This window comes from Homo sapiens, chromosome 2, assembly GCF_000001405.40.
Source record: "Homo sapiens chromosome 2, GRCh38.p14 Primary Assembly".
Lineage (NCBI taxonomy): Eukaryota > Metazoa > Chordata > Mammalia > Primates > Hominidae > Homo > Homo sapiens.
The window spans coordinates 19913877-19938514 of NC_000002.12; the positions used below are offsets into that span (position 1 = coordinate 19913877).

Here is a 24638-nt window from a genome sequence, read left to right on the forward strand (position 1 = left end):
AAAGCATGAATACACTTGTAAAAATAAATAAAATAGGGTATAATGTTAATGTGAATTGCTTCAAAATTCAGTGCTTTAATTCCTACATTAAACATTGTACATCTAGAAATCCAAGCTTCTAATAAGATAGAATGGCATCCACTAATTAAAATTAGCCTACCCTTCCATAAGGCTGTCCAATTCAGGTTTTCTGTTATCTTTTGAAGTATGTTTGGTGAAGATTTCTAAAGCAAGGTCTTCATACTGCTGTTTCTGTTCTGAACTGAGGGTCTCTAAAGATTTAAGTTTAATGAAAGCTTTTGAACAAGTCCCAAAGGCTCTGCTGGCGCATGCGCAGAGTGCTAGCAGAGAGTAGATCTCCACAGGAGGGATGATGTCTTCATAGTCTTTCAGGTGAAGAGCTAAGAAAAACAGGGCAATTGGGGTTTTTTAAAATAATTATTATGATATCATGAACATGCAAAAGAAGAATCTAAGTTAAGGTGATTTCATTGAACTTGCATGAACGAACTGAAAGCAAACAGTGTTGAGAGATGGGAGCACCAAGAGGAGGAACTAGGCTACATGATATCCAAGGTTCTGTGAAGCTGGCTAACAGCTCATCCTATGAAAAGAACCACCACCAAATGCTGCACATGGCTGTGCCAGCTCAGAAATACACACACACACACAAAATTTTGGTGTCAAAACATCCACATTTTCTTCAATTTATGTTAGAAATTTCTGTGGCACTTCATAAAAAGCAAATGAGTATTATACTATGTTAGTCATAAACTGCAAGATAATACCATGTTTCCTTTTGTTAAAAAAAAAGCAAAACAATATAAGCAAAACAGTATAAAATAATATGTTCTTTTCTCTGTGTTTCTTTGGACAGATTATTGCTTTTGTATTACTGCTTTTGTCATTTGTCTCACTGAAACAATAGGATTTTGTGAAAAAGTGAAAATGAGTCTCCAAGTTGTCAGTTGAGACAATTCAAGTTACAACATCTTATTTGCAATTATACTGGAGATGAAAAAATCTTTCTTTAAAATGCACTGTATTCTTGGGCCTGTTGGGGGTGGGGGGCTAGGGGAGGGATAGCATTAGGAGAAATACCTAATGTAGATGACGGTTGATGGGTGCAGCAAACCACCATGGCACATGTATACCTATGTAACAAGCCTGCACGTTCTGTACATGTACCCCAGAACTTAAAGTATAATAAAAAAAGCAGACTTAATATTAGATTTAATATTAAGATTTAATATTAGATTTATAACCAATTTGTATCTTTTTCTTCTCTAGACCTTGGAATCTTAAAAATACTTTGTTATAGTATATCAAAAACTTCATAAAACCAGTTTAAACAATATATTCATGTGTTTTACAATCAGAATCCTATAAACTGGTTCTGGGGTCAAGTATTTACAACAAAGTGTAGTAGAAAAAATGTATATAAAATGTAATCACTCAGTTACAATAAACAATATCCTCTAATTTCATATCCAAAGCATGATAGGTTCAAGGGTAATAATTTACAGGTCATACATTGTTTCAGATCGTCTTACCACTGACAAAAAAAAAAAAAATGAGGCATATAGAGATCTTCACCTAGTAGGTGAAGCATCTCAAGTTAAAGATCTAATTGTTCTTTTAAGTCTAGAAATGGTGTATAAATTGAATATGATACAGCTATTTTAAACAGTGTATAATTTATGTCACATATTAGTTAAAACTAAATGAAGGTCAGTTATAAAATAAACATAAAAATAATTTTTATATATAACTAATAACCAATTAGAAAAAAAATTTACAACCTCATTAATGACAACAAAACTAGGAATAAACTGAAAAATAAACCTTTAGAGCCAGCAAGAAGAAAACTACAAATCTTTAGAAACACAGATACATAAGTGATTTCTAAAATAGATGTTTCTGACAAATATCACATGTTCTCACTCATATGTGAGATCTAAAAAAGTTGACCTCGTGGAGCGTGCAGTGAGCTGAGATTATGCCACTGCACTCTAGCCAGGGCAACAGAGCGAGACTCCATCTAAAAAAAAAAAAAAAAAAAAAGTTGGCCTTGGCTGGCAAGATGGACGAATAGGAACAGCTCTGGTCTGCAGCTCCCAGCAAGATTGACGCAGAAGGTGGGTGATTTCCGCATTTCCAACTGAGGTACCAGGTTCATCTCATTGGGACTAGTTGGACAGTGGGTGCAGCCCAAGGAGGATGAGCCAAAGCAGGGTGGGGCGTCACCTCACCTGGGAAATGCAAGGGGATGGGGAAATCCCTCTCCTAGCCAAGGGAAGCCATTAGGGACTGTACCGTGCACTCCGGCCCAGATACTGCACTTTTAACACAGTCTTCACAACCTGCAGACCAGGAGATTCCTTTCGCTGCCCACGCCACCGGGGCCCTGGGTTTCCAGCACAAAACTGGGCGGCCGTTTGAGCTGACACCAAGCTAGCTGCAGGAGTTTTTCTTCATACCCCAGTGGCGCCTGGAACACCAGCAAGACAGAACCATTCACTCCCCTGGAAAGGGGGCTGAAGCCAGGGAGCCAAGGGGTCTGGCTCAGCAGGTCCCACCCCCATGGAGCCCAGTAAGCTCAAGATCCACTGGCTTGAAAGTCTCATGGTTAGCACAGCAGTTTGAGCTAACCTGGGATGCTTGAGCTTGGTGGGGGAAGAGGCATCCACCATTGCTGAGGCTTGAGTAGGCGGTTTCACCCTCACAGTGTAAACAAAGCCGCTGGGAAGTTGAAACTGGGCGGAGCCCACCCCAGCTCAGCAAGGCCCCTGCAGCCAGACTACCTCCTCTCTGGGCAGGACACCTCTGAAAAAAAGCCAGCAGCCCCAGTCAGGGACTTATAGATAAAACTTCCACCTCCCTGGGACAAAGCACCTGGGGAAAGGGGTGGTTATGGGCGCAGCTCCAACAGACTTAAACGTCCCTACCTGGCAGCTCTGAAGACAGCAGCGGATCAACCAGCACAGTGTTCAAGCTCTGATAAGGGACAGACTGCCTCCTCAAGTGTGTCCCTGACCCCCATGTATCCTGACTAGGAAACACCTCCCAGTGGGTCCCTGGGACCCATGTAGGGGCCGACAGAGACCACATACAGGACAGCATTGGCTGGCATCTGGCAGGTGCCCCTCTGGGACAAAGCTTCCAAAGGAACAGGCAGCAACCTTTGCTGCTCTGCAGCCTCCACTGGTGATACCCAGGCAAACGGTCTGGAGCGGACCTCCAGCAAACTCCAGCAGACCTGCTGGAGAGGGGCCTGACTGTTAGAAGGAAAACTAACAAACAGAAAGGAATAGTATCAACACCAACAAAAAGGATGTCCACTCAGAGACCCCATCCGAAGGTCACCGACTTCAAAGACCAAAGGTAGACAAATCCATGAAGATGGGGAGAAACCAGAGCAAAAAGGCTGAAAATTCCAAAAACCAAAACACCTCTTCTCCTACAAAGGATCACAACTCCTCACCAGCAAGGGAACAAAACTGGATGGAGAATGAATTTGATTAACTGACAGAAGCAGGCTTCAGAAGGTGGGTAATAACAAACTCCTCCAAGGTAAAGGAGCATGTTCTAACCTAATGCAAGGAAGCTAAGAACCTTGAAAAAAGGTTAGACGAATTGCTAACTAGAATAACCAGTTTAGAGAAGAACATAAATGACCTGATGGAGCTGAAAAACACAGCACAAGAACTTCGTGAAGCATACACAAGTATCAATAGCCAAACTGATCATGCAGAAGAAAGGATATCAGACATTGAAGATCAACTCAATGAAATAAAGCAAGAAAACAAGATTAGAGAAAAAAGAGTGAAAAGAAATGAACAAAGCCTCCAAGAAGTATGGGACTATGTGAAAAGGCCAAATCTACGTTTGATTGGTGTACCTGAAAGTGATGGGGAGAATGGAACCAAGTTGGAAAACACTCTTCAGGATATTATCCAGGAAAATCCCCAACCTAGCAAGGCAGGCCAACATTCAAATTCAGGAAATACACAGAACACCATAAAGATACTCCTCGAGAACAGCAACACCAAGACACATATTGTCAGATTCACCAAGGTTGAAATGAAGGAAAAAATGTTAAGGGCAACCTGAGAGAAAGGTCGGGCTACCCACAAAGGGAAGCCCATCAGACTAACAGCAGATCTCTCGGCAGAAACCCTAAAAGCCAGAAGAGAGTGGGGGCCAATATTCAACATTCTTAAAGAAAAGAATTTTCAACCCAGAATTTCATATCCAACCAAACTAAGCTTCATAAGCAAAGGAGAAATAAAATCCTTTACAGACAAGGAAATGCTGAGATATTTTGTCACCATCAGGCCTCTCCTACAAGAGCTCCTGAAGGAAGCACTAAACATGGAAAGGAACAACCAGTACCAGCCACTGCAAAAACATACCAAATTGTAAAGAGCATCGAAGCTATGAAGAAACTGCATCAGCTAACAGACAGAATAACCAGCTAGCATCATAATGTCAGGATCAAATTCACACATAACAATATTAACCTTAAATGTAAATGGGCTAAATGCCCCAATTAAAAGACACAGACTGGCAAATTGGATAGTCAAGACCTATTGGTGTGCTGTATGCAGGAGACCCATCTCACGGGCAAAGACATACATAGGCTCAAAACAAAGGGATGGAGGAATATTTACCAAGGAAATGGAAAGCAATAATAAGAAAAAAAAGCAGGGGTTGCAATCCTAGTCTCTGAAAAAACAGACTTTAACTGACAAAAAGCAAAAGAGACAAAGAAGGGCATTACATAATGTTAAAGGGATCAATGCAACAAGAAGAGCTAACCATCGTAAATATATATGGACCCAATACAGGAACACCCAAATTCATAAAGTAAGTTCTTAGAAACCTACAAAGAGACTTAGACTCCCACACAATAATAGTGGGAGACTTCAACACCCCGTTGTCAATATTAGACAGATCAACAAGACAGAAAATTAACAAGGATATGCAGGACTTGAACTCAGCTGTGGACCAAGTGAACTTAATAGACATCTACGGAACTCTCCACCCCAAATCAACAGAATATACATTCTTCTCAGCACCACATGGCAGTTATTCTAAAACTGACCACATAATTGGAAGTAAAACACTCCTCAGCAAATGCAAAAGACAGAAATCATAACAAATGGTCTCTCAGACCACAGTGCAATCAAATTAGAACTCAGGATTAAGAAACTCATCAAGGCCAGGCGCAGTGGCTCACGCCTGTAATTCCAGCACTTTCGGAGGCCAAGGCGGGTGGGTCACGAGGTCAGGAGATTGAGACCATCCTGGCTAACATGGTAAAACCCCATCTCTACTAAAAATACAAAAAATTTAGCCAGGCATGGTGGCGGGCGCCTGTAGTCCCAGCTACTTGGGAGGCTGAGGCAGGAGAATGGTGTGAACCCAGGAGGCGGAGCTTGCAGTGAGCTGAGATTGCACCACTGCACTCCAACCTGGGTGACAGAGCAAGGCTCCATCTCAAAAAAAAAAAAAAAAAAGAAAAGAAAAAGAAAAAGAAAAAAAAAGAAACTCATCAACACCACATAACTACCTGGAAACTGAACAACCTTCTCCTGAATGACTACTGGGCAAATAACGAAATGAAGGCAGAAATAAAGATGTTCTTTGAAACCAATGAGAACAAAGACACAGTGCAGCAGAATTTCTGGAATGCATTTAAAGCAGTGTGTAGAGGAAAATTTATAGCACTAAATGCCCACATGGGAAAGCAGGAAAGATCTAAAATCAACACCCTAACATCACAATTAAAAGAACTAGAGAAGCAAGAGCAAACAAATTCAAAAGCTAGCAGAAGACAACAAATAACTAAGATCACAGCAGAACTGAAGGAGATAGAGACACAAAAAACCCTCCAAAAAATCAATGAATCCAGGAACTGGTTTTTTGAATACAACAACAAAATAGATAGACCACTAGACTATGAAAGAAGAAAAGAGAGAAGAATCAAATAGATGCAATAAAAAATGATAAAAGGGATATCACCACCAATCCCACAGAAATACAGACTACCACCAGAGAAGACTATCAACACCTCTATGCAAATAAACTAGAAAATCTAGAAGAAATGGATAAATTCCTGGACACATACACCCTCCCAAGACTAAACCAGGAAGAAGTCGAATCCCTGAACAGATCAATAACAAGTTCTGAAATTGAGCAGCAATTCATAGCCCACCAACCAAAAAAAGTCCAGGACCAGACGGATTCACAGCCAAATTCTACCAGAGGTATAAAGAGGAGCTGGTACTATTCCTTCTGAAACTATTCCAAACAACAGAAAAAGAGGGAATCCTCCCTAACTCATTTTATGAAGCCAGCATCATCCTGATACCAAAATGTGGCAGAGACACAACAACAACAAAAAATTTCAGGCCAATATCCCTGATGAACATCTATGAGAAAATCCTCAATAAAATACTGGCAAACCAAATCCAGCAGTGCATCAGAAAGCTTATCCACCATGATCAAGTTGGCTTCATCCCTGGGATGCAAGGCTGGTTCAACATACGCAAATCAATAAATATAATCCACCACATAAACAAAACCAGTGACATAAACCACATGATTATCTCAATAGATGCAGAAAAAGCCTTCAACAAAATTCAACAGCCTTCATACGAAAAACTCTCAACAAACTAGGCACTGATGGAACATATCTCAAAATAATAACAGCCATTTATGACAAACCCACAGCCAATATCATACTGAATGGGCATAACCTGGAAGCATTCCCTTTGAAAACCAGCACAAGACAAGGATGCCCTCTCCCACCACTCCTATTCAACACAGTATTGGAAGTTCTGGCCAAGACAATCAGGCAGGAGAAAGAAATAAAGGATATTCAATTAGGAAAAGAGGAAGTCAAATTGTCCCTGTTTGCAGATGACATGATTGTATATTTAGAAAACTCCATCATCTCAGCCCCAAATCTCCTTAAGCTGATAAGTAACTTCAGCAAAGTCTCAGGATACAAAATCAATGTGCAAAAATCACAAGCATTCCTATACACCAAAAACAGCCAAACAGAGAGCCAAATCGTGAGTGAACTCCCATTCACAATGGCTACAAAGAGAATAAAATACCTAGGAATACAACTTACAAGGGATGTGAAGGACCTCTTCAAGGAGAACTACAAACCACTGCTCAAGAAAATAAGAGAGGACACAAACAAATGCAAAAACATTCCATGCTCATGGATAGGAAGAACCAATATCATCAAAATGGCCATACTGCCCAAAGTAATTTATAGATTCAATGCTATCCCAATCAAGCTACCATTGACTTTCTTTACAGAATTAGAAAGAACTTTAAATTTCATATGGAACCAAAAAAGAGCCCGCATAGCCAACACAATCCTAAGCAAAAAGAACAAAGCTGGAAGCATCACACTAACTGACTACGAACTATACTACAAGGCTACAGCAACAAAAACGGCACGGTACTGGTACCAAAACAGATATATAGACCAATGGAACAGAATAGAGGCCTCAGAAACAACGCCAAACATCTACAACCATCTGATCTTTGAGAAACCTGACAAAAACAAGAAATGGGGAAAGGATTCCCTATTTAATAAATGATGTTGGCAAAACTGGCTAGCCATATGCAGAAAGCTGAAACTGAATCCCTTCCTTACACCTTATACAAAAATTAACTCAAGATGGATTAAAGACTTAAACGTAAGACCTAAAACCATAAAAACCCTAGAAGAAAACCTAGGCAATACCATTCAGGACATAGGCATGGGCAAAGACTTCATAACTAAAACACCAAAAGCAGTGGCAACAAAAGCCAAAATAGAAAAATGGGATCTGATTAAACTAAAGAGCTTCTGCACAGCAAAAGAAACTATCAACAGAGTGAACTGGCAACCTACAGAAAATTTTTGCAACCTACCCATCTGACAAAGGGCTAATATCCAGAATCTACAAAGAACTTAAACAAATTTACAAGAAAAAAACAAATAACTCCATCAAAAAGTGGGTGAAGGATATGAACAGAAACTTTTCAAAAGAAGACATTTTTGCATCCAACAAACATGAAGAAAAGCTCATCATCACTGGTCATTAGAGAAATGCAAATCAAAACCACAATGAGATACCATCTCACACCAGTTAGAATGGTGATCATTAAAAAGTCAGGAAACAACAGATGCTAGAGAGGACGTGGAGAAATAGGAATGCTTTTACACTGTTGGTGGGAGTGTAAATGAGTTCAACCATTGTGGAAGACAGTGTGGCGATTCCTCAAGGATCTAGAACTAGAAATACCATTTGACCCAGCAATCCCATTGCTGGGTATATACCCAAAGGATTATAAATCATTCTACTATAAAGACACATGCACATGTATGCTTACTGCAGCACTGTTCACAATAGCAAAGATTTGGAGCCAACCCAAATGCCCATCAATGATAGACTGGATAAAGAAAATGCAGCACATATACACCAGGGAATACTATGCAGCCATAAAAAAGGATGCATTCATGTCCTTTGGAGGGACGTGGATGAAGCTGGAAACCATCATTCTCAGCAAACTAACACAAGAACAGAAAACCAAACACCTCAGGTTCTCATTCATAAGTGGGAGTCGAACAATGAGAACACATGGACACAGGGGCAGGAGATCACACACCGGGGCCTGTAGGGGGTGGGGGGCTGGGGGAGGGATAGCATAAGGAGAAATACCTAATGTAGATGACGGGTTGATGGGTGCAGCAAACCACCAACGCATGTGTATACCTATGTAACAAACCTGCACATTCTGCACATGTACCCCAGAACTTAAAGTATAATTAAAAAAAAGTATAAATTTAGTTTCATGAATGTTGGGAACAGGCTCCACAAAATCTGGCCATAAACCAGCCCCAAAACTGGCCATAAACAAAATCTCAGCAGCACTGTGACAGGTTCATGATGGCCATAACACCCACGCTGGAAGGTTGTGGGTTTACTGGAATGAGGGCAAGGAACACCTGGCCCGCCCAGGGCAGAAAACTGCTTAAAGGAGTTCTTAAACCACAACCAGTAGCATGAGTGATCTGTGCCTTAAGGACATGCTCCTGCTGCAGATAACTAGCCAGACCCATCCCTTTATTTCAGCCCATTCCTTCATTTCTCATAAGGGATACTTTTAGTTAATCAAATATCTATAGAAACAAGGCTAATGACTGGCTTGCTGTTAATAAATACGTGGGTAAATCTCTGTTCAGGGCTCTCAGCTCTGAAGGTTGTGAGACCCCTGATTTCCCACTTCACACCTCTATATTTCTGTGTGTGTGTTTTTAATTCCTTTAGCACCGCTGAGTTAGGGTCTCCCCGACCGAGCTGGTCTCGGCAAGTGGCATCCACCGTGGGGGCTTGAATCCAGATCAAAGGGTCGCTGGAGCAACAGTTGGAGAACGTGGAACTAGCTGGAGGACACCTGAGTACTCTTAAAGCAATCCCCGTAGTGAGTAAGAAGGGGAGCTCGGAAGCATCAGGGTAACAATGGGAAAAGTGTGGGCTGTGGTTCGTTCCACCTTGGAACTTTTTCACACTGATGATGAGGAGGAAGGAGAGTATAACGAAGTAACAGAAGAGATTACAGAGCAGGTTTATTTGCCAGCTAAAGCTAAAGCGGTAAAGGAGAGAGGTTCATCCCTATCCTTCTGCACCCCCTCATTATTATTTTGAAGAAAATGACCCTCCAGATCTTTCTTTTCCAGAGGACACTGGATGAAAAGAGTTGCCCCAGTGACTGTTCGAACAGCACCTTGAGTGACTGCTCTTAGTTCTATTCAGGCAGGAATTCAGCAAGCTAGACGAGAGGGTGATTTACAGGCTTGACAGTTCCCTGTTAGAATACACCCCCCAGAACAACGGGGAAATATTACAGCTACATTTGAGCCTTTTCCTTTTAAATTGCTCAAAGAATTTAAACAAGCTATAAATCAGTATGGACCAGGTTCTCATTTTGTAATGGGACTGTTAAAGAATGTTGCTGTTTCCAGTCAGATGATTCCTACTGACTGGGATGCTCTTACTCAGGCTTGTCTAACTCCTGCTCAGTTCTTACAATTTAAAACTTGGTGGGCCCATGAAGCTTCCATTCAGGCTGCTTGCAACGCCCAGGCCCAGCCTCAAATTAATATAACTACAGGCCAACTTTTGGGGGTTGGCGGCTGGGCTGGTTTAGATGCACAAGTGGTCATGCAGGATGATGCCATAGAACAGCTTAGAGGAGTGTGCATTAGAGCTTGGGAAAAAATCCCTTTATGTGGAGAACAATACGCTTCCTTTAGTGCTATAAAACAGGGACCAAAAGAACCATATGTGGATTTTATAGCTTGGTTACAGGAGTCTCTTAAAAAGGTGATTGCAGGCCGGGTGCAGTGGCTCATGCCTGTAATCCCAGCACTTTGGGAGGCTGAGGGGGGTGGATCACAAGGTCAGGAGATCGAGACCATCCTGGCTAACATGGTGAAACCCCGTCTCTACTAAAAATACAAAAAATTCGCCGGGTGTGGTGGCGGGCGCCTGTAGTGCCAGCTAATCAGGAGGCTGAGGCAGGAGAATGGCGTGAACCCGGGAGGCGGAGCTTGCAGTGAGCCGAGATCGCGCCACTGCACTCCAGGCTGGGCGACAGAGTGAGATTTCATCTCAAAACAAAAAGGTGATTGCAGATTTGGCTGCTCAGGATATAGTGCTGCAGTTATTAGCTTTTGACAATGCTAATCCTGACTGCCAGGCTGCTCTGCGACCTATCAGAGGGAAAGCACATTTAGTTGATTTTATCAAGGCCTGTGATGTTATCGGAGGTAATCTGCATAAGGCTACTCTGCTAGCACGAGCAATGGCAGGACTAAGAGTGGATAAAGGAAATACTCCATTTCCTGGAGGGTGTTTTAACTGTGGGAAGCATGGTCATACTAAAAAAGAATGTAGAAAAAATCAGCAAGTCAGGCCACCAGATAGCTGAAAAAAGAAAACTGCTGAGCCTGAAATATGTCCAAAATGTAAAAAAGGACATTGGGCTAATCAGTGTCACTCTAAGTTTAATAAAGATGGGAACCTGATTTTGGGAAATGCAATGAGGGGCCCGTCCTGGGCCCCATTCCAAACTGGTGCATTTCCAGCTCAGGCCATTCCCTCACCCCTGTACAATGTCTGTTCCCCGCCACAGCCAGTAGTGCCGCAGTAGATTTATGCTGCACAAAACTGTGAGCCTTCTGCCTGGGGAACCCCCGCAAAGGGTCTGTGGACCCTTGCCAGTGGGGACAATAGGATTACTTTTAGGAAAGTCTAGTTTAAGTTTAAAAGGGGTATAAATACATACAGGAGTCATGGATTCAGAATACAATGGGGAAATTCAAATTGTTATATCTACTTCTGTTCCCTAGAAAGAAGCCAGGAGAGTGCATAGCATAGCTCCTTATTCTGCCATATGTGGGAATGGGGAAAAGTGAAATTAAACCAACACAATATATTTGGAAGCACAAATAAACAAGGCAAAGCAGCTTACTGGGTAAATCAAATTACTGATAAACGTCCTACCTGTGAAGTAACTATTTAGGGGAAAAGAATTTAAAGGTTTGGTAGATACAGGAGCGGACATTTCAATCATTTCTCTACAGCACTGGCCATCTGCGTGGCCAATTCAACCCACTCAACTTAACATAGTTGGAGTTGGTAAAGCCCCTGAAGTATATCAAAGTAGTTATATTTTGCATTGTGAAGGGCCCGATGGACAACCTGGGACTATTCAACCAATTATAACTTCTGTACCTATAAATTTATGGGGGAGAGATTTATTGCAACAATGGGGAGCACAAGTTCTAATTCCAGAACAATTATATAGCCCTCAAAGTCAACATATAATGCATGAAATGGGGTATATCCCTGGTATGGGACTAGAAAAAAATCTGCAAGCTTTGGAAGAACCGCTTCAAGTGGAAAGACAAAGTTCCCGCCAAAGATTAGGATATCATTTTTGATGGTGCTCATTGTTAAGCCTCTAGAACCTATACCTTTAAAATGGTTAACAGATAAGCCAATTTGGATAGAACAATGGCCACTAAGTAAAGAGAAACCGGAGGCTTTAGAGAAATTAGTTACTAAACAATTAGAAAATGGGCACATAGCTCCAACATTTTCCCCTTGGAATTCTCCAGTTTGCGTAATTAAGAAAAAATCAGGTAAATGGAGAATTTTAACTGACTTAAGAGCCATCAATTCAGTTATACAACCTATGGGAGCATTACAGCCAGGATTGCCTTCTCCTGCTATAATTCCAAAAAATTGGCCTTTAATAGTCATAGATTTAAAATACTGTTTCTTTACTATCCCCTTAGCTGAGCAAGACTGTGAACAGTTTGCATTTACAATTCCTGTGGTAAACAACCTGCAGCCTGCTAAGTGTTTTCATTGTTTTACAGATGGGTCTAGTCATGGTAAAGCTTCTTATTCTGGATCAAAAGGTTAAGTTTTCCAGACGCCCTATACTTCAGTTCAAAAAGCGAAGCTTGTAGCTGTAATTGAGGTAATGACTGCTTTTGATTTGCCTATTAATGTGATATCTGATTCTTCATACGTGGTTCATTCTACACAGTTAATTGAAAATGCTCAGTTATGATTTCATACAGATGAACAACTGATGACAAAAACAAAAAAGAGGGAGAGACAGGGATTATGGGACAGCCCATACACAATTGAATCTAGCATTATTAACTTTAAATTTTTTGAGCCTGCCCAAATGCCAGATGTTATCAGCAGCTGAACAGCATCTACAGAAACCAGCTGCAAAGACAGAAGCAGAACAACTAGTTTGGTGGAGAGATCTGATAACAAAAAGTTGGGAAATAGGTAAAATAATAACTTGGGGTAGAGGTTATGCTTGTGTTTCTCCAGGCCAAAATCAACAGCCGATTTGGATACCATCAAGACACCTGAAACCTTATCATGAGCCAGATGCCAAGGAAGAGATTCCGGGAGGATCTCGAGGACCCCCCCCACCCTGTTGCAGCCATTTCGAGACTGACACTGAGGAGGACCCCAGCTGTCGCAAGCAACACCCGTTGAACACAGTCAACTAACTGGGGACAGATCAAGAAGCTGTCACAGATGGCGGAAGAAAACCTGAGGAAAGTGGGACAACCAGTCACAATGAGTAATTTAATGGTAGCTATGATAGCTGTTATCACCACTGCTATGAGTATTCCTTCAGTAAGGGCTGACACAGGGAACAATTACACTTATTGGGCATATTTATCAATCTTGGCTGGCAATAATGCCTAGATGTAATCACTCTATGATGCTGTTACACAGCTTTCTGATCTCAGTATTTACCATAATAAATCTGCTCCTATAATTGAGGCATACCGCCCTCAAAAACCTATTTGTAAACAAAATTGAACCTGGCCAGAAAAAAATGAACGTACTTGTTTAGGAAGATTGCATTGCAGAACAGGCAGAGGTGCTGCACAATGATTCCTATGGAATCATTATTAATTGGTCCCCTAAGGGGATGTTTAGCTTGAATTGCACTTCTCAGTCTGTGTGCCATGCCATACTTATGTTCAGATGGTCTCAACAAAATGTTCAGGTGGTAGATATAATAAGAAGTACGGCAAGAGTTCCTATTATCTAGAACCATGGTGGTATAGTGGCACCTCAACCTCAAATGATATGGCCCGCTCTAGGAGCTAAACATTAAGGATTTGTGGAAACTATTAATAGCTCTTAACAAGATCAAAATTTGGGAAAGAATAAAAAAGCGTCTAGAAGGACACTCTACAAACTTGTTTTTGGATATAGCAAAATTAAAAGAACAAATATTCAAAGCATCCCAGGGACACCTGACCTTAATGCCAAGAACTGGAGTGCTTAAAGGAGCTGCAGACAGATTAGCAGCTAGTAATCCATTAAAATGGATAAAAACACTTGGAAGCCCTGTAATTTCAATGATGATTGTGCTTTTAATCTGTGTTGTTTGTCTTTCTATAGTCTGCAGATGTGGATCCTGACTCCTGCAAGAAGTAGCTCACCATGACAAAGCTGTCCTTGCCTTTATAGATTTGCAAATCAAAGAAGGGGGACATGTTGGGAACAGGCACCCCTCAAAATCTGGCCATAAACTGGCCCCAAAACTGGCCATAAACAAAATCTCAGCAGCACTGTGACAGGTTCATGATGGCCATAACACCCACTCTGGAAGGTTGTGGTTTACTGGAATGAGGGCAAGGAACACCTGGCCCGCCCAGGGCAGAAAACTGCTTAAAGGAGTTCTTAAACCACAACCAGTAGCATGAGCAATCTGTGCCTTAAGGACATGCTCCTGCTGCAGATAACTAGCCAGACCCATCCCTTTATTTCAGCCCATCCCTTCGTTTCCCATAAGGGATACTTTTAGTTAATCGAATATCTATAGAAACAAGGCTAATGACTGGCTTGCTGTTAATAAATACGTGGGTAAATCTCTGTTCGGGGCTCTCAGCTCTGAAGGTTGTGAGACCCCTGATTTCCCACTTCACACCTCTATATTTCTGTGTGTGTGTCTTTAATTCCTCTAGCGCCGCTTGGTTAGGGTCTCCCTGACTGAGCTGGTCTCGGCACATTAAGGTAGAATTTCAAATCTGTTAAGAAAGAATAAACCTAATATATGGTTTCAGGATAACTTAGATGTTATAATAAACATAATATTTAACAAACTTGAAGGAATTCCTAAGCATGATTCCTAAGAGAAAAATATGAAGTAAAAGACTGACAGACATGACTATATAAAAAAAACTATTAATATCATCATCACAGCTACCACTTATTGAGGGCTCACAATGTCCAGGCAGCATAATAAGTGAGTTTTCTTTTCATGAACTTCTCAATCATTACAATAACTCTATGAGGAAGATACTATTTTTTTTTTTTTTTGAGACGGAGTCTCGCTCTGTCACCCAGGCTGGAGTGCAGCGGTGCGATCTCGGCTCACTGCAAGCTCCGCCTCCCAGGTTCACACCATTCTCCTGCTTCAGCCTCCCAAGTAGCTGGGACTACAGGCACCTGCCACTACACCCAGCTGATTTTTTTGTATTTTTAGTAAAGACAGGGTTTCACCGTGTTAGCCGGGATGCTCTCGATCTCCTGACCTTGTGATCCACCCGCCTCAGCCTCCCAAAGTGCTGGGATTACAGGCATGAGCCACTGCACCCGGCTGAGGAAGATACTATTATCCTTTCTTTACACAAAGAGAAACTGAAGCTTAGAAAGGATCAAGTAACTATAACTTATAAATGCTAGGGAAAATCAATATATATGAAAGACGATTATTACATATGGTCTCTAAAGAGCTCTTATAAAAATAATTAAAAATAAAAATCATCACTATAGAATTCCAGAAATATTCAAATAAAAGAATTTCTCTAAAAGTTTTCTTTTAATATCATGCCATTGGAATACAGATTCATGATGTATTAGGATTAGAGTGTGATGTGCATATGGTGATGATGTGAGCAGCAAATGGATGATGTCACCAATATGACAGAGGAAGGGTGGGGTGTCATGACAGTGCTTGCCATGGCCAAGCTGAAAGACCAGTAATGATTTAGTCATTCATATGCTTTGGCTTACAACATAATTATCATAATTACACTCTCTGGAGTTCATATATCTAAATTCTAGAATATTGTTATTGTTAAGAAGAAATTGAGATCCTGATATTACATGTAAATAATCTTCTATCAATTACAGTATACAAATACCATGGAATATTAGGTAGAATGTTTATATAGATCTCTGTTTAAGAATGAGGAAAGAACTATAATATACTGCTGAGGGAAAAAACCATGCTCCTGCATGTAGAAACATCTAAAAGGAAGTTTACCCAAACCTTAGCAATGATTACCTCTGAGTTATAGGATTATTTTACAAATTGTTAGATTATTTTACTTTTTCTTCATATTTTTCTGTTTTGGTTGAAATTATTAGCTAAGTATCACTTTTATAAAACACAAGATAAATGCTATAGCAATGTATATGTAAAATATGGAAATATTTTAAAACGTGGTTTTCAAAAAGTACATAAAAGTATGCCATGTTATACTCCCGATATTGTAAAGAATAAAATTATCTGAATGTATGTATTAAATATATTTTATGTATTTAAATATATGTATTAAATATATTTAATAGATATATGTATATATATTTTTCTCCAAAAAATATGAACTTGGCTATGAAGTATTTAACTTTGAATGGCTAGCCATATGAATGCTATACACATTCTTTTTGCTTATCTCAAATTTCTGACATTTCTGTGAACTATGTGTTTTCTCTGTATTAAAAAAAACTTCAAAAATGGGAATGCATAAGACTCAAACATAGGAAAATAAATCCATAGGAAAAAATGTTATTGAAGGCCACATAAAGGCAAATTGAAGAAGCTAGCCCTTCATACTCAATTTATAATTTTCAGACATACTATACACATTAGGTGACATGCCCACCTGTCTTCAGTGCAGTGTCCACACATCCCTCATAGAGCTGCCTCTGTGCAAGTATAAAGAAGTGGTAAGCCTCTGCCCCTCTCCATGCATTATCTGTGAAACGATCTGTTGTAGACAGAACTTCTTCTTCCAGCAAACCAGCCAAGGCAGAAGTGGCCTACGAGTAAAGTCAGCCCACACTTTCCGTCAGCACAAACGCACACACAGTGTCAACTCCCAAATAACAACAGTCATTAAAGTATCTAAATGAGCAGATTTTATCATTACAAAACTATGATTACAGACTTTTTTTTTTAAGAGATGAGGTATTACTCTGTCACCCAAGCTGGAATGCAGCTGCGTGGTCATAGCTCACTGCAGTCTCAAACTCATGGACTCAAGTGATCCTCCCACCTAAGCCTCCCTAGTCACTGAGATCACTGGTGTGAGCACTGCACCCAAAACAGATTTAATTTTTTATTATAATTCATAGTTTGTTAAACTGGTATGAATAAATTTTAAAATATAACTAATTAGATTCTAAGTTAATCAGACATTCATTTACGCATTACAACAATATATCTAGGAAAGTTTTAAAACTCACTGATTAGAAAGGAAGATTTCCCAGGTAAGTAAAATTTTTTAACAAATAAGACATTAAAGCAAAGACTACAGATTAGTATTACAGAAAAACAATTTCAATATTTCTAGGTAGAAATTTCTGAATTTGAATACTAATTCTAAATCAGTCATTCTTTTTCTTCATATCATTTAAGGAAACAAATGCAGACATGCAAATTAAATGACCTATCCATAAAAGAAGTTTAATAGTTTCTTTTTTTTTTTTTCTTAAACACTTCCAATGATGTAATGTTATTTAACGTGCTACTTTACCTCTGAACTTTTTCCTTTAACTTTTCCTCGCTGGGCATTCTTCATCTGTTCATGGTATTGCTCTATAAGTAAGGCTGACAGTACATAGAGCTTCTTGACACGTAAAGGTTTACTTCCTTTCTTTGCCTCTTCATCTGCAATCTTAAACATTTTTCAAAATTGAGGGAAGTTACTTCTTATCTATATTTGTACAAATACAATCATTTCCAAAACTAACAAATTTGATTCCCTAAAAAAGGAGGAAAATCAGTAAGATGGAATATAAATATCACCTATTTAAGATAAATATTTTAAAACCTATCTTCTTTTCATTAGTACCTATTCGTATTTAGTTCTTTCCTTAGTATTTAGCCCTAGGAGTTGGAATTCAGATCACTCTTAGAAAATGAGAGGTGCTGTTAGATAACTAAATCAGAATAAAGAAAGTATTGATGAAATGCTGGTATTTTCCATAATACAGAGATTTTTAAAATAATGTTCCAAGTACACAAAGATATGATAGTGTTAACATGGTGCATCCTTCAGAAGCTGAAACTTATTTAAATGATTTTAAGAGATATTTTTCCTTTTTCATTAAATCAAATGGGAATAGAATAGAAGGTAAAATGTGTATACATTAATACTGTACTAATTATCTTCCCTCCAAATAAATATTATGTAAAGCGTAATATTTAAAACTTGTACATTTAAAAGAACTTAAAACTCTATTATCAACAAAATTTAATTCCCTGTTGTAGAAATTTGTACTTTGCAGTCTCAGTAATTTCTTTAACTCTTTGTTAACTCCAGTATTCAACATACAATTGTTTAGGTATTAGTAAGTTGCTAATATTAATAAACATCTTTGTTGGTAAAAGGCAATAATACTAAAATAATGTATACAGAAGCAATAAAACCAGAGTGGTTTTGCTGTAATAAATATTTGTTTCCAAAGAAAATGGAGAATATGCTCTTTCATATATTAAAATATTGTGACTGGAACAAATCAACTATTCACCAAGATTTTTACATTACCTTAAACATCAGTTTAGCTGCATCAAAAAAGTAATTGGCTTTCCGATAGAGTTCTATGGCATCAAGAGTTTTATTCTTTTCCAGTAAATGAGATGCATACCTAGCTAACAGAGATCCAATTTCTTTCATACTATGATTTTTAGCCAATTCAACAGCTTTGTTCCACTAGGAGAAAAATTACACCATTCAGTCACCCAAGTATTTACAGTCACATATATCATAAAATTCACACAAGAAAGCTTTAAGTTTATAGTAAAAACACTATTTCAAAATTAAAAACTGGTATGTTTTAAAAATAGCATTTAAAATCACAGCAACATAAGTCCTATAAGCATAAGTCAAAATGATTAAATGATCTCTAAGACTCTGATTTGCTTAAGAAATACATGTGAAAATGAAAGTTTCAAAGTTTATAATCATATTAATCTTGTAATTCTAATCTTACAAAACTTCAAGCAAGAAAGATACACTTGTTTATATGTTATAGTAAAACAAAATATGCAATTTCAGTTGTGAAAATGTCCTATCAGATTTGACATTTAAAAATTATTTTTATAAAGCAAAAGGGGTTTTAAAAAATAAGAAAAATATTAAAAGAATACATTAATAGTCAATAGTTTCTATAATAACGCTGTACTTTTAGTTTAATTTCAGCTCTTAAAAATATCAAATGTATGTTTTCTATAAAGGAAAAGGAAAACAGATTTGCCAAAATAAATATTGATAAAGTAACTCAATTCCTTCCTCAGGCAATGACCAACCATTAACTGGTCCTTCTTTGGAAACAAAACCCAACCCTAACAAAATGCAGAAAATTATGAAATTACTTCCAGACAAAAACTTGCCAGACTAAAAGCACAAGGTTTGTTCATGCTCCCATACTGAGCTGGTTATAAGTGGGTCACCCCTCATGGTAGCACTTTAAGAGGTAAGTGCAACTTTCTTCATCCTCAATTAAGAGAATACCCGCCTGGCTCCTTTCATAAAATTCACGTCAGGCTCTCCAACCCTTACATTGGCAATAATCTTTAAAAGATCACTAGGGTGACTTTAACCTTGCTTTGACTTAAAAATTCCTAAGACAATAAGCTGCACAGACAGAAAGTTTCAGTTCCTACTTGGTTGAGATGTACGCAGGTATCTACTGCTGCCTTTGGTTGACTACATTTCAAAAATGCAGTCACTGCTTGTTCACACATTCCAACTCTGACAAACATTTGTGCTATTTCCTGTACAAACAAAACAATACTATCAGATTTCACAGACCAAGGAAATTACTTATATTTTAATTTAACAAAACTCCGTAGGGACGTATGAGTATTAAATTTACTGGTAGTTACAGATTTTTCTTGTAAACAGACGCAAGGGCAGAGGGTACAAATGAGAATGGATGCTAAGGCATCACTTCTATAAATCCAGAGCTTCACTGGCTCAGGCTGTGGATCTGATTTTTAACGAGGCCCTGAAGACACTGCACTCCTTTCTTATCTCAGTTCAGTAGCTAGTATACAGAAATGTCAAGCTCCAAAACAAATCCCCCACCAGTGGGTGAAAAAAGCCTTTATATCAATTGGTGGTATACTCAGTGCTAATTATTAACTAGAGACTTAAGGGAAATCTCACATTCACAGAGCCCTCAAATACCTCTATAAAGAAATGTCCTAGAGAAGTCTGCCATTAATCAGTTCAGGAAGCTAGACCCAAAACAGAGCTCTCTTGGAAAGTGGTGGCAGCGAGGAAGAACCACCACCACCACCACCACCACCACCACCACCACCACCACCACCACCACAAAAAAAAATCCTACTTGTTCAGCTGCACTGGCCATTTTCAGAACATCATTTTTTTTCTTTCAGAATATCTAATTAGCCAGAGGTTTTCCCTCCCCAACCCTTCTACAATATGTTTGGAAGTATGAAAGTATATTTTATATCCAACTTTTAAAACAATGCTTATATTTTTCTGATTATAAGGGAATACATTCTATCTGTAAAAAAAATTACAAAACATGAAAAAGTGAAATTACTCATAATCTTATCATTCATAAGAAACCTCTCTCAATACTCTGGTGCAATTTCTTAACATCTTTGTCCTTTGAATATATATGTATATGTTTGTGTTGTACACAATCACACAATACACAATTTTGTATCCTGTATTTCCTACTTAAATATTATGTACACCTTCCCATATTATTAAAAATTCTTCTATAACTCTATTTAAAATTTATAATACTAAAATTTTTACTATTTTAGTTATTTAATTATCATTATAGTTATAATTACTTAGCATTTACTCAGGAATATTACTATTCTGGATACCCTACAGCAAAATGTTTATCGGCATCATCAGACACATCTAACAGACAACACTAACGGAGTATACACTCTTCCCTATACCCAGGGTTCTAAGTAATTTCAGTTTCTTTCCTACTCAAGAAAACCCATAGGATTGAAAATAAGGGTGAGTGAAAATACCATTATTACAGAGATAGCCGCTCAAATTCACAATAGGGAAAACTGAATTACCGTAATTCTATACTTATCTATTAACTAATAGGCAAAATTTTTGAAGCAGAACTCACAACTGATATACATCCAGACTCTGCAGTTGAGAGCTGCTAGCTCTACAAGTATTGTACGGCTCAGTGATTCACATATTAAACACATAAAATACAAACTTATTTACAGTATTCAACAATTAATTAAGAGGCTCTAAAAGAACATTTGAAAGCAAGAGAACTCTTTCCATTTCTCTTTTAACTTGAAATACTTTATTGTTAATATAACATAATAAAAGTTGAGCTATCTTTTTAAACTTAAGTTATAGCAAATTTCAAACAATTTCAGATTATTTTGAAGCAAATCCCTAGCAACATATCATTTCATCTGTAAATATTTCATGTATTCAGCTAACATTTAAAAAGTAACTTTATAAATCTTAACAGACTACACAAGACTGTGATCATATTAAAGTAGTAAGAATGTGACTGACTTTTCCTCCTCCATTTTCAAGCATTCTATATTATTTATATATTACTTTATAATTAAAAGCATCATTCCATGTCTAAGAAACTGTAACATTATAGATTTTTAATTTTCTTTATTGTGGGAGATATTTCCTGACTATAACATAAAATTTTATAAAGTAACCTAACAATTCCAAAAACTAAAATTTGCAATACCTACTGGAAGTAACTTGTGGTTTTCTGGAAGTGAAATGGCAAGGTTCTCTAACCCTTCATAATCCTCTAACATATAGTAACATTCAGCTAAGCGTTCCTGGTTCCGTCCTTGTACATAATATTGTACAGCATTCAACCTACAGAAAGAAAAAAGGAAAAACTTTTAAAACTAATGTGAATCTCCTGATAAATAAGCACTTTCAACCAAAATGTTCCTTCATCATAATTCCCAGTACTAGTATTACTGTTCATTATCTTCAGCTTCAGAATAACTTTCAAACATATAAATGGGGAAAAAAATCTAAAGCATATTCTAGTTGTAACATTCCTTGACTATTCTTAAGAAATACCACCGCTTTACTCCCAAACACTGACATAAATAAGCATACTAATCAAAATGAAAAGAAAAGCCAATGATTTCTGAAAATAATATATAATAAAGCAAATAAAAACACTTATTAAACTTTGTTCAAAAATAAAACATAAAACACCTTAGAATTATATACTGTAGGCTCAAACAGAAAGCTGCATGGAGCTAAGTACAAGTTTTGTGTTTATACACTACAAATTTTTATAGTGCTCATCTCACAACTTCACAGGATCTCCGGCTTTCCAAGATGAATCTAGAGCTATCTGAATTTTAGAATTCAAGAAAATGATCTTCATTTCCCCAGGATTACTTCCTAGAGAAGTACTCAGGCAGCTACTAAGTGTTGCATGAATGCTTGAGGAGCTCCAGGTAAGTTACATACCACTTTTGTCGATCAGCAAAGTAGTCTCCAATGGCATTGTTGGCTTGTTCCAGGAGACTGTCATCTGCATCACCAGATCCAGTTTTCAGGAGCTGGAGTACTCTAAACCAATCCCCCAATTTCAGCCGGAGGCCAATAGCAAGATCCCTACAAACAAAGGCATTCATTCATTCATTCATCTATTTGACAAATATTTACCAAGAGCCTGCTGTGTGTTAGGTACAGTTCTAGGTGCTGAGGCTACACAGCAGTGGACAATGTGACTCTCCAAACACTTTAGGAACTTAGCCTGACTAGCTAAGAGGAAATGAGGAGCACCTGGAGGTTATGGTTTGAATGTGTGTCCCCTCCAAAATTCATGTTAAAACTTAATCTCCATTGTGGTAGTATTAAGAGGTGGGGTTTCTGGGAAGTCATTATGTCTGCCCTTATGAATTGATTAATGCCCTCATAAAAGACTCCTCAGAGAATTTGCCCCTTTTGCCCTTTTCACTTTCCACCATGTAAAGGCATAACATTCAAAGCACCATCTTGAAAGTGAGACAGGGCCCTCAACAGACACCAAACTTGTTGACGCCTTGATCTTAGACTTCCTAGTCTCCAGAACTGTGAGAAAAATATTTCTGTTCTTTATAAATTATCCAGTCTCAGGTATCTTGTTATAGCACCCCAAATGGTCTAAGATACCAGAACAGGGAAAAGAATGTTGTGCCTTTACTTTCCTGGACTTTCAATTTATTTAGCAAAATAATGATTTAAATAACAATCATTTCTTTTCAGCAATTTCTTAGATGTGATCAGGTTTATTTCAAAACAAAACACAGTGTTAACACATGTGGTTTTATATGACTTTTCAGAGCCTAAGTCATATTAGAGATCTCCTGGGAGTATAAATAACATTAATGAAGATGAGATACAATCTTAACAGCTGAAATGAAGTTCAGACAGACTCTCCGCCTTGTGGTTCAGTGGCTAAGATTATCTGCTTTCATAGCAGCTGCCTGGGTTTGATTCCTGGCCAGGGAGACAGGCCTTACAGTTCTTTAATTCAAAAGAAGAAATATTTATGAAGTTCATACATTATTTTATATAAATCAAAAACGAAATATAAAGAACTAATCTCGATCCCTAACGACTTCTGATTTTTATTTTATGCCTCTTGACAACATAAAATTAAATAATGGCCTAAACAAACAAAGAAAGAAAGAACTGGAATAATGAGCTATGTCTTAAATATAAAAGATCCCAGTCTCTGTTGTTCTATCATTTTTTCCCATCAAATGAAAAAAAAACCTCCCAGAGTCAGCCATTATTAGATGTAAAAACAGAGAAGAAAACTGCCTCCAGACTATGAAACACAAATGAATGAGAGGCATGTAGAATATCTAGGTTGTAATCCAAACTTAAAATTAATTTCTAAAAGGAACCATATGATACACCTAACGTATTTATAGTTTCCATTTGTAAAAAATACAATGATGAACTGATAGAGTACTCAGGGATGCCTGCGCCTTCATAACTTACCTTCTGTCCATCTCGAGATACGTTCTTTCAGCCTCTTCAAACCTGCCGAAGTAGCCAACAACTTCAGCCTGTTTCATTGACTCACTCAGTAGTTTGCCCAAGCGCTTCACAAACTTAATGCCTTGGTAATCTTTGCAGCGCACAAATGCTTGCTCTGCAGTGTATAGATCCAGTTTCTGAAGAGCTGCTTCAGCCAGTAGGCGCCTTTATTTTAAAAGAAACAAAAACATAAGTGCATATTGCAAATTACTGACAAACTAGTCTTGAATCACAATTCAATTATCATTTATGTCTATTATTTCTAGAGAAACATGGTGGAAAGTAACATATGCAAACATTTTTCAAATAATTTTCTGCTTATTTTGAGGACTTCCAAATCTAAATGAATTTCTACATCTTAAAAAGAAGAGCAAGAATGGAAGTCTGCTCCCATCAGGAGGATAGTAGGGGAGCAGAGGGACAAAACTGAGACTTTAAAAACCTACACCTGACATCCTGGGAGAGTTTGCTTTTTTTAAATACCAAAGTCGGGGGTGTGGATTGTCCTCTATGAACTGAGATGCATCTTTAATTCCAACCTTCTCAATCAGTGCTCGGCTATCTCGCAGAGACCGAATCTCAAAGTTAATTAGGTAATCCTTGTTTGGATGTTCTGGATCCTAAAAGTAAAGATGAAAACAAAAAAATTCAAATATTTGCCGTTAGAGTATGTGTTTCTTTTTTATATTAAAAACCAGAACAAAACAAAACAAGAAAAAAAACGGCATCATAT

The 24638-nt window shown here is 38.2% G+C and overlaps 1 protein-coding gene across 6 annotated transcripts in view, besides 1 other annotated feature; it reads right to left on the minus strand.

Annotated features, from left to right (window-relative positions):
* WDR35 (WD repeat domain 35) overlaps positions 1–24638 on the minus strand; it is a 79843-nt gene that overhangs the window by 3614 nt on the left and 51591 nt on the right. For 3 of the 6 annotated variants that reach the window (NM_020779.4, NM_001006657.2, XM_011533007.3), the window contains 9 exons: positions 24389–24525; positions 23867–24070; positions 22343–22489; positions 21595–21727; positions 19525–19635; positions 18407–18571; positions 17393–17533; positions 16520–16676; positions 161–401 (listed from right to left, as the gene is read on the minus strand). In NM_020779.4, the coding sequence (NP_065830.2) occupies positions 161–401; positions 16520–16676; positions 17393–17533; positions 18407–18571; positions 19525–19635; positions 21595–21727; positions 22343–22489; positions 23867–24070; positions 24389–24525 (1436 nt within the window). Of the gene's footprint in view, positions 1–160; positions 402–16519; positions 16677–17392; positions 17534–18406; positions 18572–19524; positions 19636–21594; positions 21728–22342; positions 22490–23866; positions 24071–24388; positions 24526–24638 lie in introns of those variants that run through there. The other 3 variants (XR_426989.4, XM_047445199.1, XR_939699.4) reach the window with 3 other exon arrangements.
* Positions 19602–19651: an enhancer, noted in NCBI's record as "active region_15370". NCBI's record gives its function as "activates an Ori minimal core promoter by ATAC-STARR-seq in GM12878 lymphoblastoid cells {active_cell/tissue: GM12878}" and the evidence as "EXISTENCE:reporter gene assay evidence [ECO:0000049][PMID:35858748]".